Source organism: Homo sapiens, chromosome 5 (genome assembly GCF_000001405.40).
Source record: "Homo sapiens chromosome 5, GRCh38.p14 Primary Assembly".
In the NCBI taxonomy this organism is placed as follows: Eukaryota; Metazoa; Chordata; class Mammalia; order Primates; family Hominidae; genus Homo; species Homo sapiens.
The window spans coordinates 102,628,023-102,644,864 of record NC_000005.10 but is presented as its reverse complement, the minus strand read 5'-3'; the positions used below and the strand labels follow the sequence as shown (position 1 = coordinate 102,644,864).

General features: G+C 37.4%; 1 long non-coding RNA gene across 4 annotated transcripts in view; it reads left to right on the top strand.

Annotated features, from left to right (window-relative positions):
- Positions 1-16,842, top strand: part of LINC00491 (long intergenic non-protein coding RNA 491) — a 62,973-nt gene that overhangs the window by 26,600 nt on the left and 19,531 nt on the right. The window contains exon 2 of one of the 4 annotated variants that reach the window (NR_103753.1): positions 8,574-8,722. The exons of the other annotated variants lie outside the window; for them this stretch is intronic. This is a non-coding gene — a long non-coding RNA (long intergenic non-protein coding RNA 491). The remainder of the gene's footprint in view (positions 1-8,573; positions 8,723-16,842) is intronic. 4 annotated transcript variants of the gene reach the window in all.

Below are 16,842 nucleotides of genomic sequence, written 5' to 3'. Positions count from 1 at the left end.
GTTTTAAGACTTGTTTTGTGACCTAACATATGGTCTAGCCTTGGGAATGATCTATGTGTTGAGAAAAGGAATGTGTTTTCTGCAGCTATTGGATGAAAGGTTCTGTGAATTTCTATTAGATCCATTTGTTCTGTAGTGCAAATTAAATTTGATGTTTCTTTGTTGATTTTCTGTCTGAGAGATTTTTCCCATGCTGAAAGTGGGATGTTAAAGTCTCCAGCGATTATTTGATTGAGTTCTATTTCTCTCTTTCTCTCTAACAATATTTGCTTTATAAATCTGGGTGCTCCAGTGTTGGATGCATATATATTTAAAATCATCATATCCTCTTGCTGAATTGGCCTCTTTATAATTATATAGTGACCTTCTTTGTCACTTCTTATAGCTTTTATCTTGAAATCTATTTTGTCTGATATAAGTAATACATATATATGTATATATATATTTATATACTCCTGCTCTTTTTTGATTTTTGTTATGTTGAATTATGTAATGGAATAAAAAGAGTGACTTTTGCTTTTTTTTGGTTTTCATTACATCGAATTACACTTCATTTATAAAGATACATATAGACTGTAAATAAAGAGAAAGATATCTTTTTCCATCCTTTTATTTACAGTCTATATGTATCTTTATAAGTGAAGTGTGTTTCTTGTAGGCAACAGATCATTGGTTTTTTTTTTTTAAATCTATCCAACCATTCTGTTGTTTCATTGTAGCGTTTCCATTCAATGTTATTATTGATCAGTAGAAGTTTACACCTGCCATTTTGTCATTTGTTTTTTGTCTGTTTTGTGATTTTTCTCTTTCTTCTTTCTTTCCTTCCTGTCTTCCTTTTAGTAAACGTGATTTTCTCTGGTGGTATGATTTAATTTCTTGATTTTTATTTTTTTGTATCCATTGTGTGTTTTTTTGATTTGAGATTACCATGCGTCTTGCAAATGCTATTTGATAACCCATTATTTTAACCTGATAACAACTTAACACTGCTTGCCTAAACAAACAAACAGAAAGAAAACTAATAAAACTCCACTAGAAATGCTAAAGATAGGAGGATAATTCTAGTAGGAGAGTTCTGGTGTTGACAACCCTTAGCTTTGGTGTGGGCAAGTCTTTATTTCTCCTTCATGCTTAAAGGATATTTTCACTGAGTGTACTATTATAGGGTAAAAGATTTTTTCCTTCAGCACTTTAAATATGTCATGTTATTCTCTCTTCTCCTGTAAAGTTTCCACTGAAAAGTCTGCTGCCAGATGTATTGGAGCTCCATTATCTGTTATTTGTTTCTTTTCTCTTGCTGCTTTTAGGATTCTTTCTTAATCCTTGATCTTTGGGAGTTTGACTACTAAATGCCTTGAGACAATCCACTTCAGGTTAAATCTGCTTGGTGCTGTATAACTTTCTTGTACTTGGGAATGATATCTCTTTCTAGCTTTGGGGGTTTCTCTGTTATCACTGTGAATAAACTTTCTACCCCTTTTTATTTCTCTACCTCCTTTTTAAGGTCAATAACTCTTAGATTTGCCCTTTTTAGTTTATTTTCTATATCTTGTGGGGGTGCATCATTCTTTTTCATTCCTTTTTCTTTTAGGCAAATAGCCTATCTTTAAGCTCACTAATTCTTTCTTCTGCTGGATCCATTCCACTATTAAGAGACTCTACTGCATTCTTCAGTATGTCAATTGCATTTTTCAGCTCTAGAATATCTGCCTGATTGTTTTTAATTATTTCAATCTTATTGTTAAATTTATCTGGTGGAATTTTGAATTTCTTATCTGTGTTATATTGAATTTCTTTGAATTTCTTCAAAGCAGCTATTTTGAGTTATGTCTGAAAGATCACATACCTCTGTTTCTTGCTGATTGGTCCGTGGTGACTTATTTAGTGTGTTTGGTAAGGTTCTGTTTTCCTGAATGGTCTTGATGCTTGTAGATGTTCATCAGCATCTGAATTTTGAAGACTTAGATACTTATTGTAGTCTTCACAGTTGGGTGTTTGTGCTTATCCTTCTTGGGGAGGCTTTCCAGGTATTCAAAGGGACTTGGGTCCCAAGCTCAATAACACTGTGGTTTTTGCAGAGTCATAAAGGACTGCCTTGGCGGTCTTGGAGGAGATCTGGAAGAATTTTCTGGATTACCAGGCAGAGATTCTTTTTTTTTTTTCTCCCCTTACTTTCTCCCAAATGAATGGAGTCTCTCTGTCTGTGCTGAGCATTCTGGAACTGGAGGTGTGGTGATGCAAGCACCCCCATGGCCATCACCACTGGGACTGCACTGGGTCAGACCTGAAGTCAGCACAACACTGGGGTCTCACCCAAGGCCTCTTGTAACCTCCACAACCTGGCTACAACCTATCTTCACACAAGTCGCTAGGGTTCTGTGATCAGCAAATGGCAAAACCAGACAGATTTGTGTCTATCTCTTTAGGGTGGTGAATTCCCCTAGGCCCCTGGTGGGCACAGAGATGCTATCTGAGAGCCAGGGATTGGAGTCAAAAATCTTAGAAATTTACCTGATGTTCTATTCTACTGTAGGTAAACTGGAACTCAGACCACAATATAAAGTCCTTCCTGCTCTTCCCTTCCCTTTCCACAGACTGTGGAGCCTCTCCCTGTGGCCACCACCACCACTGGCCCGGGGAGGTTTCTGTAAGACTATTGCTGATATTCATTTAAAGCCAAAGGGCTCTTCAGTCAGGTTGTGGTAAATGCAACCAGGCCTTGGACTCATCTTTCAGGGCAGTGGGCTCTCCTCTGGCTCAGGGCAGGTCCAGAAATGCTGTCCAAGAGCCTAGGCCTGGACTCAGGGACTCCAAGAGCCTGCTTGTTGCTCTACCACAGTATAGATGAGCTGGTACCTAAGGTACAAGACAAAGTTTTCTTTACTTTTTCCTCTGCTTTTCTCAAACAGAAAAAGGTTTTCACCATAGCCATTATAGCTGGTAATGTGCTGGGTCATACCTGAAGCCAACACACCTCCAAGCCCAAGACCCATAGTGTACCATCTAGGTATTGCTGCTGGTTATTCCGGGCCGAAGGGTCTTTAGTCAGCAGGTGATGAATCCTGCCAGGACTGGATCCTTCCCTTCAAGGCAATAGTTTCTCTTTTGGCCCAGGATATGTCTACAAATGTCATCCATGAGCTAGGGACTGGAAAGGGGGACTCAAGCACCCCCTTAATCCCTCTGCTGGTACCTCTCTAAGTCATGTGCCATCCTGGTTCCCTGGCTTTAAGCCCACCTCTGTACTAGAAGTTGCCTAGGAATTGCAGACCTTGTGTCCTAGACTGCCTTTCAAGTTTACCTAGGACCCCAGAGCACTTTGGCTTGTGATGGCAAGACTGCCAAGAAACTCAAGTTCAGATGTGTGGGATGGAAGGTCCCCTCTGGCTTCATCTGGTCCAAATGTTCCCTCTGTGTGCAGGTGCTAGTTAAGCCCAGGCTGGCTTTGCTCTCTACTATGACAGGGTAGCACTGTATTCAATGTAAAGTCCCCCAGTCATGCATGCTCCCTCCCCCAAGAACACAGACCCCCGTCTTCATGCTGCATGTCTGCTGCTGGGGGTTGGGGAAGGGGTGGTGTTGGCAATTCTAGACTGTCTCTACTACCCTCTTCAATGCCTGCTTCAGCAATATGAAGTTAAAACAGGGTACTATGATAGCTCACCTGATTTGTGATTCTCGCGATGGAGCTTTTCAGTATGTAGATAGGTGTTAAAATTTGGTGTTCCTGCTAGGGGGACAAACATTGTACGTTTCTATTCTCTATGTTTCTCCACCCCCTCCACCCACTTCCTCTTGTAGGCCTAAGAAATACATCAAATAAAATGTGTTGTTCCAAGTCAGAAGCCTGTTAGGGAGTGATGACAATTCTTTTTTTGAACATCCTGCTTTCTTTTTTTTTTTTATTTTTTTTTATTTTTTATTTTTATTCTTAAATTTTTTTTTATTATACTTTAAGTTTTAGGGTACATGTGCACGCACACGTATGTTTATTGTGGCATTATTCACAATAGCAAAGACTTGGAACCAACCCAAATGTGCAACAATGATAGACTGGATTAAGAAAATGTGGCACATATACACCATGGAATACTATGCAGCCATAAAAAATGATGAGTTCATGTCCTTTGTAGGGACATGGATGAAACTGGAAATCATCATTCTCAGTAAACTATCGCAAGAGCAAAAAACCGAACATCCTGCTTTCTAAGGGACACACATAAGGGACAAAATTGTCCTAGAGATATATGAAAATACATATCAGAGATGTGTGGGCCAGTGTTTGCTCAAGGAACCAGAAGCACATCTGCTCTGTGGTCAGAAAGTGTTACGTTGACCTGTATGCCCCCAGATTACTATTTCTAACAAAGTACCATCTAATGAACATAAAATGCAGGCACTTTGCCTCTTGCTCACATCAGGAGTCATTACAGTGGTAGTGGTTAAAAAAGCCCATGAGGGGGTGAAATGCCTGGGATAGCATTAGGAGATATACCTAATGCTAAATGATGAGTTAATGGATGCAGCACACCAGCATGGCACATGTATACATATGTAACTAACCTGCACATTGTGCACATGTACCCTAAAACTTAAAGTATAATAATAAAAAAAAAAGATTCTAAAGAGGAAAAAAAAAAAAAAAAAGAAACGCCTGGGGTTTTACGCTGTCACTCCCCAGCTCTGAGTGTTTAGGTAAACTTACCCCTTTGTGCCCCTGTTTCCTCACCTGCAAAATGGGCATGATAATAGTAGCTGTTTCACAGGATTTATGCAAGGATTAAATGAAGGGATACATATAAATTCCTTACAAAAGTGCCCGACTCTCTGTAATTGGTGGGTCTACATATAAGAGTGTTGTTGCTTAGCACAATGCCTGTCATATGAGAAATGTTCCATAATGTGAGCGATTACTTTGCTTAATTTATTCTCCCCCAACTTTTTTTAGAGTACTTTTGGTGGAACGTTAAAAGTGATGCCAGATACATTTTATTGACATGCTTAAGTAAGCTCAATTAATATGTATATAATTTATTGCCTCTGCCATGCCTATAATCTAATTGTTCTTTTAAACTACAATCTAGTTGTTCTTTTAAAATATACCAAACAATTTAAAAAGCACTCTAGATGACTTTCTTCTTAAGACAATTCTGCCTGAACTGGCTTTAGTATTATTGTCTCTGTGAAAGTTAATTACACAAATTGGGTTATTTTTATCATACCCAACTAAATCAGACTTGAGAGGCCAGAAGGAATAAAAACACTCAGGGCACATAGCACTTGCCTTAAGAATTAAATTTCCTCCAAATCTAGCTACTGAAAAGGCCTTCCATAACCCTAAAACCAGTCTTACCTAGTAGATGCTGAAATGACCTGCTGTAACTCTAAGACTGGTTTTATTCATTACAGTCACTCACCAACCAGAGCTTGCCAGTTCCCAAAGCTTCTGGAGTGCCAATGAGCTTTCCTTCAAAACAATATGTAACATTTCTCTTTCTAATAAAACTCCCAAACTTCTCTTTGTTCTTTAGACATACTGAAGACCACCTGGTTTGTGTGTATGTCCAAAATTGGAATTCTTGCCTCCCAAATAAAATGTTTTAAATTGAGAGATTTGTCTCCGTATTTTATTTGACTTAGATACTTCCTTGTCCAAGGGCCTGGCCACAGGTGCTCTATAAATAGGGCTGCCACAAAAATCTGTTGTCCACACTGGGAACCACATATAGTACATTCCAAAGTTAAGTGCCAGTTATTTTCATTCCTCCTGCCTTTGGACTATCTGTATCATGACTCTTTTCATTTGTTTTGGATTATTCAGGACTGATTCTATTTGTATTTCACTTTTCCTTGAAGGGAAAAGAGAAAATTTTATGATTCATTCCAATTATAGTCTCGAATCACTTGCCCTTTAAAGGCAAACACTGTTAATGTGTAATTCTTAAAGACCTAGGACATTGCCACTAGTTGTCACCATAATCATATAACGTGGCAACATAAAGACTCTGTAAACAATTTGCTCATAAACAAAATGACCAAATTGCTATGAGTGCTTCATCTCCCAGATTAAATCAATCTTATCATGGTTCCTTACATAATTTCCTAAGTATTTTTTTAGCAATGAGGTTTATAATTCTGTAACTATAAACAGGTGGGTTTTTTTCTTCTTTCTCCCTAAAGGGGACTACATTTCTGAGGTTTTTGATGTGGTCTTTATGTTGGAATTTATTAGTTAGAAGGCAAAAGTAAAGATTAAACTATATGATTTGGGCTGCTGTTGCTGTTGAAATAATGAGTAAGCAGTGACAAAAAGTAGTTTGTGTAACTCTGCCCCATTAAGAGTATTTGATATGATCTCGTGTGTGTGTATGTGTGCGTGTGTGTGTGTGTGTGTGTGTGTGTGTAGCATAGGCTTTCCTCATCTCTTTTCCTCCTTTTTCTTTTTGCCTCATGTTTATTCATATCAAACTGAAGCATTGGTGGTTTACAACTGCCTTATAAAGGGCAGTAGAACTATTAAAAAAGGTATAGCCTCACGGGGTGACAAAACTGGGGCTGGGATACATGACAATATTTAATAATTTGTTTAAAGTAGTGGGTAATTTGAAAATACAAAAAAAGTTCACCTCCTTCTTAATGTCTTGTTACCAGGTAAGAGTGCCTTTTACAGGCTACTTAGAGCATGAACAAAATGATCACTGTGTAACTTCCTCCAGACCTCTCCCTAGTGTTTTAGTCACCGCTCATTTATCTAGTCTGGTTTCTAGGATTGAGACCCAAGACATTACCCCTGTTCCAGTCCAAGTTTGCTCAAAATTTTTATCATGATTTGGTGTTGAATTTCATAAAACATTTTTTCTTCATCTATTCAGATGACCAGAGGGTTTTGCTTCTTTAATTTGTTAATTTGTTCAATTACAATACTAGGTTTTCTAATTTAAACTATCCTTGCATTTGTAGAATAAGCCTAGTTTAGTCACAAGTATTTTTTTTATTTCAAGTTACTAACATTTATATGTCCATATTTATAAATGAGATTATACCATAACTTTTGTTCATTGTACTGTTCTTATTTGGATTTTCTATTAATCACTGATTTTTCTCCAGGTATTTGCAGTGGATTAATGTCATGTGTAGTAAGATTAAATTTATAACTTCGGCCCGGCCCGGTGGCTCACGCCTGTAATCCCAGCACTTTGGGATGCTGAGGCGGGTGGATCACGAGGCCAGGAGATCGAGACCATCCTGGCTAACACGGTGAAACCCCATCTCTACTAAAAATACAAAAAATTAGCCGGGCGTGGTGGCGGGCGCCTGTAGTCCCAGCTACTCGGGAAGCTGAGGCAGGAGAATGGCGTGAACCTGGGAGGCGGAGCTTGCAGTGGGCTGAGATCGTGCCTCTGCACTCCAGCCTGGGCGACAGAGCAAGACTCCGTCTCAAAAAAAAAACAAACAACAAGAAACAAAAAAAAAACTTATAACTTCATCTTCTAATAACTATATAACATTTCAGGAACTATCTTTAGGATTAAGGTGTTATAAAGGGTGATTATATTTCATGATTATGTTGTTAACAATTATTATATTTTTATTAATTAGTGAGGATTAGAGAAAAGAACCCCAGATCTAAGTAAACTAAAGGGAAGTCCAGGGTCTCTGATTCTTACTCTGATGCTTATTAACTGTATGAACTAAGAAATAACAGGATAATTTGATAACGAATTATGGATTTTAAAAATATAATTCTGTTTTAAGTGTAGAAGATGGACTGGCAAGGAAGAGATGAAAATAGATTGGTTAGAAAACTATTGCAATAGTCTAAGCAAGGATAAAACCCTTAACTAAGGCCATAGTAATGGAGATGAAGAGATGGTACATGTGTAGATCCTTGGGCCACAGTTAATCTTCACAACTTGCCCCTTACTTCTAGTGGAATTTAGACAGGCATAGATCCAAATGGTGGTTTTACCATTTACTAGTCATATGATTTTATGCTGCCCATAATTCAATATCATCAAGCTTTGTTTTATTCATGCAATATAGATAAAACAGTATCTATCTCATTTAAACCATTGCAAAATTAAATGGGATATTCTAGATAAAGCTCCTTTTATAGTGCCTGAAACATAACATGGACTTAAATAAGAAAGGGTAATTATTCTTGATTATGATAAAACTATCAAGATTCTGGATGTATTTTAGCCAAGGCAGAGTAAAAAGAGAACTGAGACAAGAGGCAGAAAATTTACATTTGAATCAAAGTCTGCCACTAAATAGTGGTTTGATCTTAGGAAAGTAGAGCCTCCATTTTCTAATTTGTAAAATGAAGGGCTTGTACTGCATAGGTAGCTCTGAAGTTGAAGCGATGCAGGTACCACTATTGGGTCATAGTAGCTGTCTAGATGGGGGGATATACTTTTCAAAGAAACCAGTAAAAAGCCTCTTCCTCAATCTCTATGACCTGCCTTCTTTTTCCAGTGCTGCCTCTCACAGGTTATCCATCTATAATTGAGTTGCTAGTAATAACCTTCAATTATTCAGTTAATCACGTTTCCTCTATGTATGTGACTCAGTTTTCCAGGTGTATTCCACATTGTCTCTACTAGTGAACTAGGATAATCCATTGTGTATCTCAACCTCCTTCACTACCCTGTGAAAGTCACATGTGAGAAGAAGCATCACAGATGATTCCATGGAGAACATCCTGGAAGTTCTCCAAATGGTAAGCTCCTGGCTCTTATTTGCTCAGGGCTCTCTTTGTTTTCTTAACTCCCTTGTGGATTACACCAAATGACAACAACAACAACAACAACAACATACAACTCAAAACAGTGGTGTTGGTTCCTTGGCTCTTGCTACCTCTTTCTGATCTTTTGCCATTTCTTCATGCCAATAAATGACTGGTCGAATTTATGATAGAAAAGAGTCAGTTATACTGGAAAAGGTAATTCCTAAGGTTTTTTTTTTAATAAGCATAAAGACTTTCTCCCAAAATAATTAAAGAGAAGCTTTTCTAGCTGATTTGTTTGAGTTCATTGTAGATTCTGGATATTACTCCTTTATCAAATGTATAGATTGTAAAGATTTTCTCCCACTCTGTGGTTTGTCTGTTTACTCTGCTGACTGTTCCTTTTGCTGTGCAAAAGTTCTTTAGTTTAATTAAGTCCCATCTAGTTATCTTTATTTTATTGCATTTGCTTTGGGGCTCTTGGTCATGGAAATCCTTGCCTAAGCCAATGTCTAGAAGGGTTTTTCCAACATTATCTTCTAGGATTTTTATAGTTTCCGGTCTTAGATTTAAGTCCTTAATCCATCTTGAGTTGTATAAGGTGAGAGATGAGGATCCAGTTTCATTCTCCTACATGTGGATAGCCAATAATCCCAGAACTATTTGTTGAAAAGGGTGTTCTTACCCTACTTTGTGGTTTTTTTTTTTTTTTTTTTTTGAGACAGAGTATCCCTCTGCCACCCTGTCACCCAGGCTGGATTGCAGTGGGGTGATCTCAGCTCACTGCAACCTCTGCGTTCTAGGTTCAAGCAGTTCTCTTGCCTCAACCTCCCGAGTAGCTGGGACTAAAGGCACGTGCTACCACCCTCAGCTAATTTTTGTATTTTTTTGGTGGAGATGGACCTTCACCATGCTGCCCAGGCTGGTTTTGAACTCCTGACTTCAAGTGATCTGCCCACCCTGGCCTCCCAGAGTGCTGGGATTACAGGCGTGTGCCACCGCACCTAGCCTTTCACTTTATGTTTTTGTTTGCTTTGTCAAAGATCAGTTGGCTGTAAGTGTTTGGGTTTATTTCTGGGTTATCTATTCTGTTCCTTCGGTCTACATGCCTATTTTTATACCAATATCGTGATGTTTTGGTGACTATGGCCTTATAGTATAGTTTGAAATCAGATAATGTGATGCCTCCAGATTTGTTATTTTTGCTTAGTCTTGCTTGGGCTATGCAGGCTCTTTTTTGGTTCCATATGAATTTTAGAATTGTTTTTTCTAATTCTGTGAAGAATGATGGTGGTACTTTGATGGGAGTTGCATTGACTTTGTAGATTGCTCTTGGCAGTATGGTCATTTTCACAATATTGATTCTACCCATTCATGAGAATGGGATGTAATTCCATTTGTTTGTGTCATCTACTATTTCTTTCAGTAGCGTTTTGTAGTTTTCCTTGTAGAGGTCTTTCACCTCCTTGGTTAGGTATATTCCTAAGTACTTTATTTATTTATTTATTTATTTATTTATTTATTTATTTATTTATTTATTTTGCAGATGTAAAAGGAGTTGAGTACTTGATTTGATTCTCTTCTTGGTCACTGTTGATGTATAGAAGAGCTACTGATTTGTGTACATTAATTTCGTATGCAGAAACTTTGCTGAATTCTTTCATCTGTTCTAGGAGCTTTCTGGAGAAGTCTTTAGGGTTTTTGAAGTAAACAATCATGTCATGAGCAAACAGTAACAGTATGACTTCCTCTTTACTGATTTGGATGTCTTTTATTTCTTTCTCTTGTCTGATTGCTCTGGCTAGGACTTCCAGTACTACACTGAAGAGGAGTGGGCATCTTTGTCTTGTTCCAGTTTTCACAGGGAATGCTTTCAACTTTTCCCCATTCAGTATTATGTTGGCTGCATGTTTGTCATAGATGGCTTTTATTAGATTGAAATATGTCCCTTGTATGCTGAGTTTGCTAAGTTTTAATCATAAAGGGATGCTGGATTTTGTCAAATGCTTTCTCTGCATCTATTGAGATGATCATGTGATTTTTGTTTTTAATTCTGTTTATGTGGTGTATTACATATATTGACTTGCATACGTTAAACCAACCCTGCATTCCTGGTATGAAACCCACTTGATCATGGTGAATTATCCTTTTGATATGTTATTGGATTCAGTTAGCTAGTATTTTGTTAAGGATTTTAGCATCCTTAACAACAGGATATCAGGGATATCGGTCTGTAGTTTTCTTTTTTGGGTATGTCCTTCCCCGGTTTTGGTATTAGGATGATGCTGGCTTCATACAATGAATTAGGGAGGGTTCCCTCCTTCTATTTTGTGGAATAATGTCAATAGGATTGATACCAATTCTTCTTTGAATGGTAGAATTCTGCTGTGAATCCATCTGGTCCTGGATTTTTTTTGTTGGTAATTTTTTTTTCATGGATTAGAGGTTTTCTTTATCTAAACAAACAAACTAACAAAAAATCCTTTGACTGTAGCCCTTGCTACAACGTTTCCCACTGAGCTGAGAGAGAAATTGAAAGTAAACTTAGGAGCTTTTTTTGGGGGGAGGGAGCTCTGAACACTGTTTTATTTCATATATATATATACTTTAAGTTCTAGGGTACATGTGCACAACGTGCAGGTTTGTTACATATGTATACATGTGCCATGTTGGTGTGCTGCATCAATTAACTCATCATTTACATTAGGTATATCTCCTAGTGCTATCCCTCCCCACTCCCCCCACCCCATGACAGGCCCCAGTGTGTGATGTTCCCCATCCTGTGTCCAAGTGTTCTCATTGTTTAATTCCCACCTATGAGTGAGAACATGCAGTGTTTGGTTTTCTGTCCTTGTGATAGTTTGCTTAGAATGATGGTTTCCAGCTTCATCCATGTCCCTACAAAGGACATGAACTCATCCTTTTTTATGGCTGCATAGTATTCCATGGTGTATATGTGCCACATTTTCTTAATCCAGTCTATCATTGATGGACATTTGGATTGGTTCCAAGTCTTTGCTATTGTGAATAGTGCCGCAATAAACATACATGTGCATGTGTCTTTATAGCAGCATGATTCATAATCCTTTGGATATATACCCAGTAATGGGATGGCTGGGTCAAATGGTATTTCTAGTTCTAGATCCTTGAGGAATCACCACACCGACTTCCACAATGGTTGAACTAGTTTACAGTCCCACCAACAGTGTAAAAGTTTTCCTATTTCTCCACATCTTCTCCAGCACCTGTTGTTTCCTGACTTTTTAATGATCACCATTCTGACTGGTGTGAGATGGTATCTCATTGTGGTTTTGATTTGCATTTCTCTGATGGCCAGTGATGATGAGCATTTCTTCATGTGTCTTTTGGCTGCATAAATGTCTTCTTTTGAGAAGTGTCTGTTCATATACCATTCAGGACATAGACATGGGCAAGGACTTCATGACTAAAACACCAAAAGCAATGGCAACAAAAGCCAAAATAGACAAATGGGATCTAATTAAACTAAAGAGCTTCTGCACAGCAAAAAAAAAACTACCATCAGAGTGAACAGGCAACCTACAAAATGGGAGAAAATTTTCACAATCTACCTATCTGACAAAGGGCAAATATCCAGAATCTACAAAGAACTTAAACAAATTTACAAGAAAAAATCAAACAACCTCATCAAAAAGTGGGTGAAGGTTTTGTTGGTAATTTTTAAATTACCATTTCAATCTCGCTGCTTGTTATCAGTCTGTTCAGGATGTCTAATTTTTCCTGATTTAAGCTAGAAGAATTGTATCTTTCCAGGAATTTATCCATCTCTTCTAGGTTTTCTAGTTTATGCACATAAAGGTGTTCATAGTAGCCTTGAATGATCGTTGGTATTTCTGTGGTGTCAGTTGTAATATCTCTCATTTCGTTTCTTATTTGCATTTTCTCTCTTCTTTTCTTGGTTTATCTTGCTAATGGACTATCAATTTTATTTATCTTTTGAAAGAGCCAGCTTTTTGTTTCATTTATCTTTTGTATTTTTTTGTTTCAATTTCATTTAGTTCTGCTCTGATCTTGGTTATTTCCTTTCTTCTGCTGGGTTTGAGTTTGGTTTGTTCTAGTTCCTGGAGGTGTGATCTTAGATTGTCAGTTTGTGCCCTTTCAGTCTTTTTGATGTAGGCATTTAGGGCTATGAACTTTCCTCTTAGCACCGCCTTTTGATGTATCCCAGAGGTTTTGATAGGTTGTGTCACTATTGTCATTCAGTTCAAATAATTTTTTAATTTCCATCTTGATTTCATTTTTGACCCAATGATCATTCAGGAGAAGGTTATTTAATGAGCAAGAAAAAAAAACAAACAATCCTATCAAAAAGTGGGCTAAGGACATGAATAGACATTTCTCAAAAGAAGATATACAAATGACCAATAGGCCAATAAACATGAAAAAATGCTCAACATCTCTAATGATCAGGGAAATGCAAATCAAAACTGCAATACAATACCACTTTATACCTGCAAGAATGACCATGATCAAAAAAATCAAAAAATAGTAGATGTTGGCATGAATGTAGTGATCAGGGAACACTTCTACACTGCTGGTTGGAATGTAAACTAGTACAACCACTGTGGAAAACAGTGTGGAGATTCCTTAAATAACTAAAAGTAGATCTACCATTTGATCCAGCAATCCCACTACTGGGTATCTACCCAGAGGAAAAGAAGTCATTGTACACAAAAGATACTTGCACATGCATGTTTATAGCAGCACAATTCACAATGGAAAAATTGTGGAGCCAACCCAAATGCCTATTAATCAATGAGTGGATAAAGAAACTGTGATATCTTTATCTATATAGATATAGTTATAGATATGATGGAATACTACTCAGCCATAAAAAGGAATGAATTAGTGGCATTTACAGTGACCTGGATAAGACTGCAGACTATTATTCTAAATGAAGTAACTCAGGAATGGAAAATCAAACATCATATGTTCTCACTGATATGTGGGAGCTAAGTTATGAAGACGCTCAAAGGCTTGCGAAAGATACAATTGACTTTGGGGACTTCTGGGAAGGGTGGAAGGGAAACAAGGGATAAAATAGAGTGCAGTGTATACTGCTCAGGTGATGGGCGCACCAAAATCTCACAGATCACCACTAAAGAACTTACTCATGCGACCAAACACCACCTGTACCCCAATAACCTATGGAAAAAAAAAGCTTTTTCTAGAATTAAAAAAAAGTGGTCAGCTTGATGTTTAATTGCAGAATTGATCTTTTTTTATAAAAGAAAATATAATGCTTATTAAATAGCAGAAATAAAGTTATGTTTGACCTTACAAAAGATATATCTGATATCTGAAGAGTTAAGATTAAGGAGGTTGAAAATGTTCCAGAAGTAAGAATAATTACAAGAAATGCATGTCTTGTAGGCAAATGGTTCTTATAAAGTTAAGAGCTTGCTTTTACATGGATGAGAGGACAAGGTTTGGATAAAGGCTTGATTGGCCTTCCACGTGTGGAGAGACATCTTTTTATCATTCCTGTAAGAAAGTTGGTGATGTATCAGGAACAAATAGTTTAAAAATCAGGTCTGAGACCTAGGTATTAAGGTGATAAATGCTTTATGGTTGAGTTATGAGTGTCAGCTATGTCTCTGCTTGCCTTAATTAGACACCTCACCAAATCTGCAGGTGGAGCTTGCGTCACTTTATCAACAGACTCATCCTCTTGTGAATGATACGGGCCAATGGCACCCTGCTCATCCCTGTGGGTGTGAGAGAAGGTCTGGGAGGGTGTGTGTGTGTGCTGTGTGCTCCCCATGTAAGGAATGGTATGTGAACATCAGCTATGGAAATTAACAGGTTTGGGGTAAGCTGGGTCAAGGACATGACAGACATACACAAAATGCTCTCTTAGACAAGAATAAAACATGCTAGAAATGTGTAGGACAGGAAGCAGGGTGAGCTTTTTGCTACAGTGATCAACAAAACATGTTACTAGGTATTTTTGTCAGGAGAATCTTAAACTTCCCAGACCCCTAAGCACTTAGCTAATTGATATCAGTTTATGACACTGATGGTAATTTTAGTGAAGTGACATGATAAGGTGAACAGCAATTCATATCTCTTAGACCACTACAAAGCCTTACATGGACACGATTTTCTCCTCACATTTACCATGACCCAGGGCTTGAACAGCACTTTCATTCTTACTTTCTTCAGTATCAACCATCCAAACATTAACACTCTGGTAATGGCAAGAGAATGGTTCTTAAGATTTACAAAGTTATAAAATGTAATCCGCTATATATAGGATAAGTAGACACAAGTATCTGAATACTACTGTGGCCTAGAAATTTTAGATAGCACTTTTACTGTTGTTGTATTAAAATTTTTTTATTATAATTATTCACTTTAATACATATTTGTGCAATTATATATTGAGCATAAGATAATATATTATATACATTTTAATTATTAAATTTAAAACACATATTTGTCTCCCCAATAGACCATAAGCTCTTGGAGGTAGGAGAAAGATTGTATTTTATTTATCATAGGGTCTAGCAACAAACAGATGCTCAATAAATGTTCATTGAAAGAAGGAAGATTACCAGATGTTTTAAAAAGAAATTAACACAAACATTTACTATGTATTAGACTTTACAAATCATTTCATTTGTTCTTAATGGCCACTGTAAAATTTAAGTATTTTATTATTTCTAACTTGGGGAAGAAGAAATGAAGGCCTAAGGGGTTAAGTAATATGCTTGGTGTCATTGCCAGCAAGAATTGTAGCTAGGATTTGAAACCAGGTCTTCATAGTTCCATAGTTTGAGCTGTGACTTCCAGTTTAGATGAACGCTCAAACAAACATTTTGAGAGAGTGTTTGTGTTTTATTGATTAAAAAGAGACTGGATAATACTACTTTTTGTAGAAATATGAAGACAATATGAAGTTTGGATTAATGACTCCTGGGAACTTGGTACTTTTAAAATCCTTTGATTCATAGACAGTGAAGATTTTTAGTTACTTAGTTGAATTTTTTATTCTATATAAAAACAGGTTTGGGCTGAAAAACCTGCTAGCTCCAAGTATAAATCTGGGAGGACAGGGCTGAGTCAGAGCTCACTGACCTTCTCAAAGAGGCTTGAGACATCTTTGTGCCAGCTGCACTACTGGAAGAGGGAGTCCTCAGGGGAAAAACACCCACTCTGTTTTATTAACGGAAAATTTGTCATTCTGGTTTTAACTGAAGGATTAAAAAGGAGACATGAGAATACTTCAGACATGAATTTCTGTATGATTTGGGCTCCCAGGCTTCAGAGATTCCTCTCAGGCAGACAAAGAAGGCAAGCCATGGTCAAGAGCTCTGGCCTTTATTTTGTTTCCCTGTGAAACATTTTGTGAGACACAGATGCAAGAGTAAGTGGCTTATTCCAGGTCATCCCAGGAAACAGCAGCAAGGGTGTGGGCGAGTTAGACAGTGAAGAAGAGGAAGTCAGAAAAGAGTTTGTGATCAAGCAAGTCACCACTGTGGCTAAATTGGCAGTCATTTTCATGAAAACTGAGCAGCCGTGTAGATGGTGCACCTCAGAGTTAGGGAAGCTGAGGTGTGTTGTCCACAAGTTTCTCATTTGTCATTGGTTGATGGCTACATCTAAGACCAGTAACTGGTACAGAGGCAAGTGTTATCAACATAAGTTATATGTTTCTTTTTCTAACCTTTTTTTTGTGCTTTAGTAACTTCAGTTTGTATATCAGAGAGTCAACCAATTCATTGACTATTGAAATTTACTAAATTCATTAACCTGTTGACTGAAATACCAAGCCCTGTATTCCTGCTCTCACACCTAGTCTTAGATACAGCATCACTGTGCTTATTCAATTTTTGTATTGAATAGACATAAATGTTGATTAGTCTTAAAGGAGCATCCACTTTCATGTAACATATATTGTATTCATTGTGAACATTTTTGAAGTCTCCATAATTATTCATTTTGGAAATACTACGTAATGCTAATTGCATAGATCCATTTATAAAATGGATAATATTTTGAAAGATATTAATGTGCTTTTCCAGTATTTTTCCTCATAGGGGGTCTTTCAACTAGTTTACCTGAGGCATCCC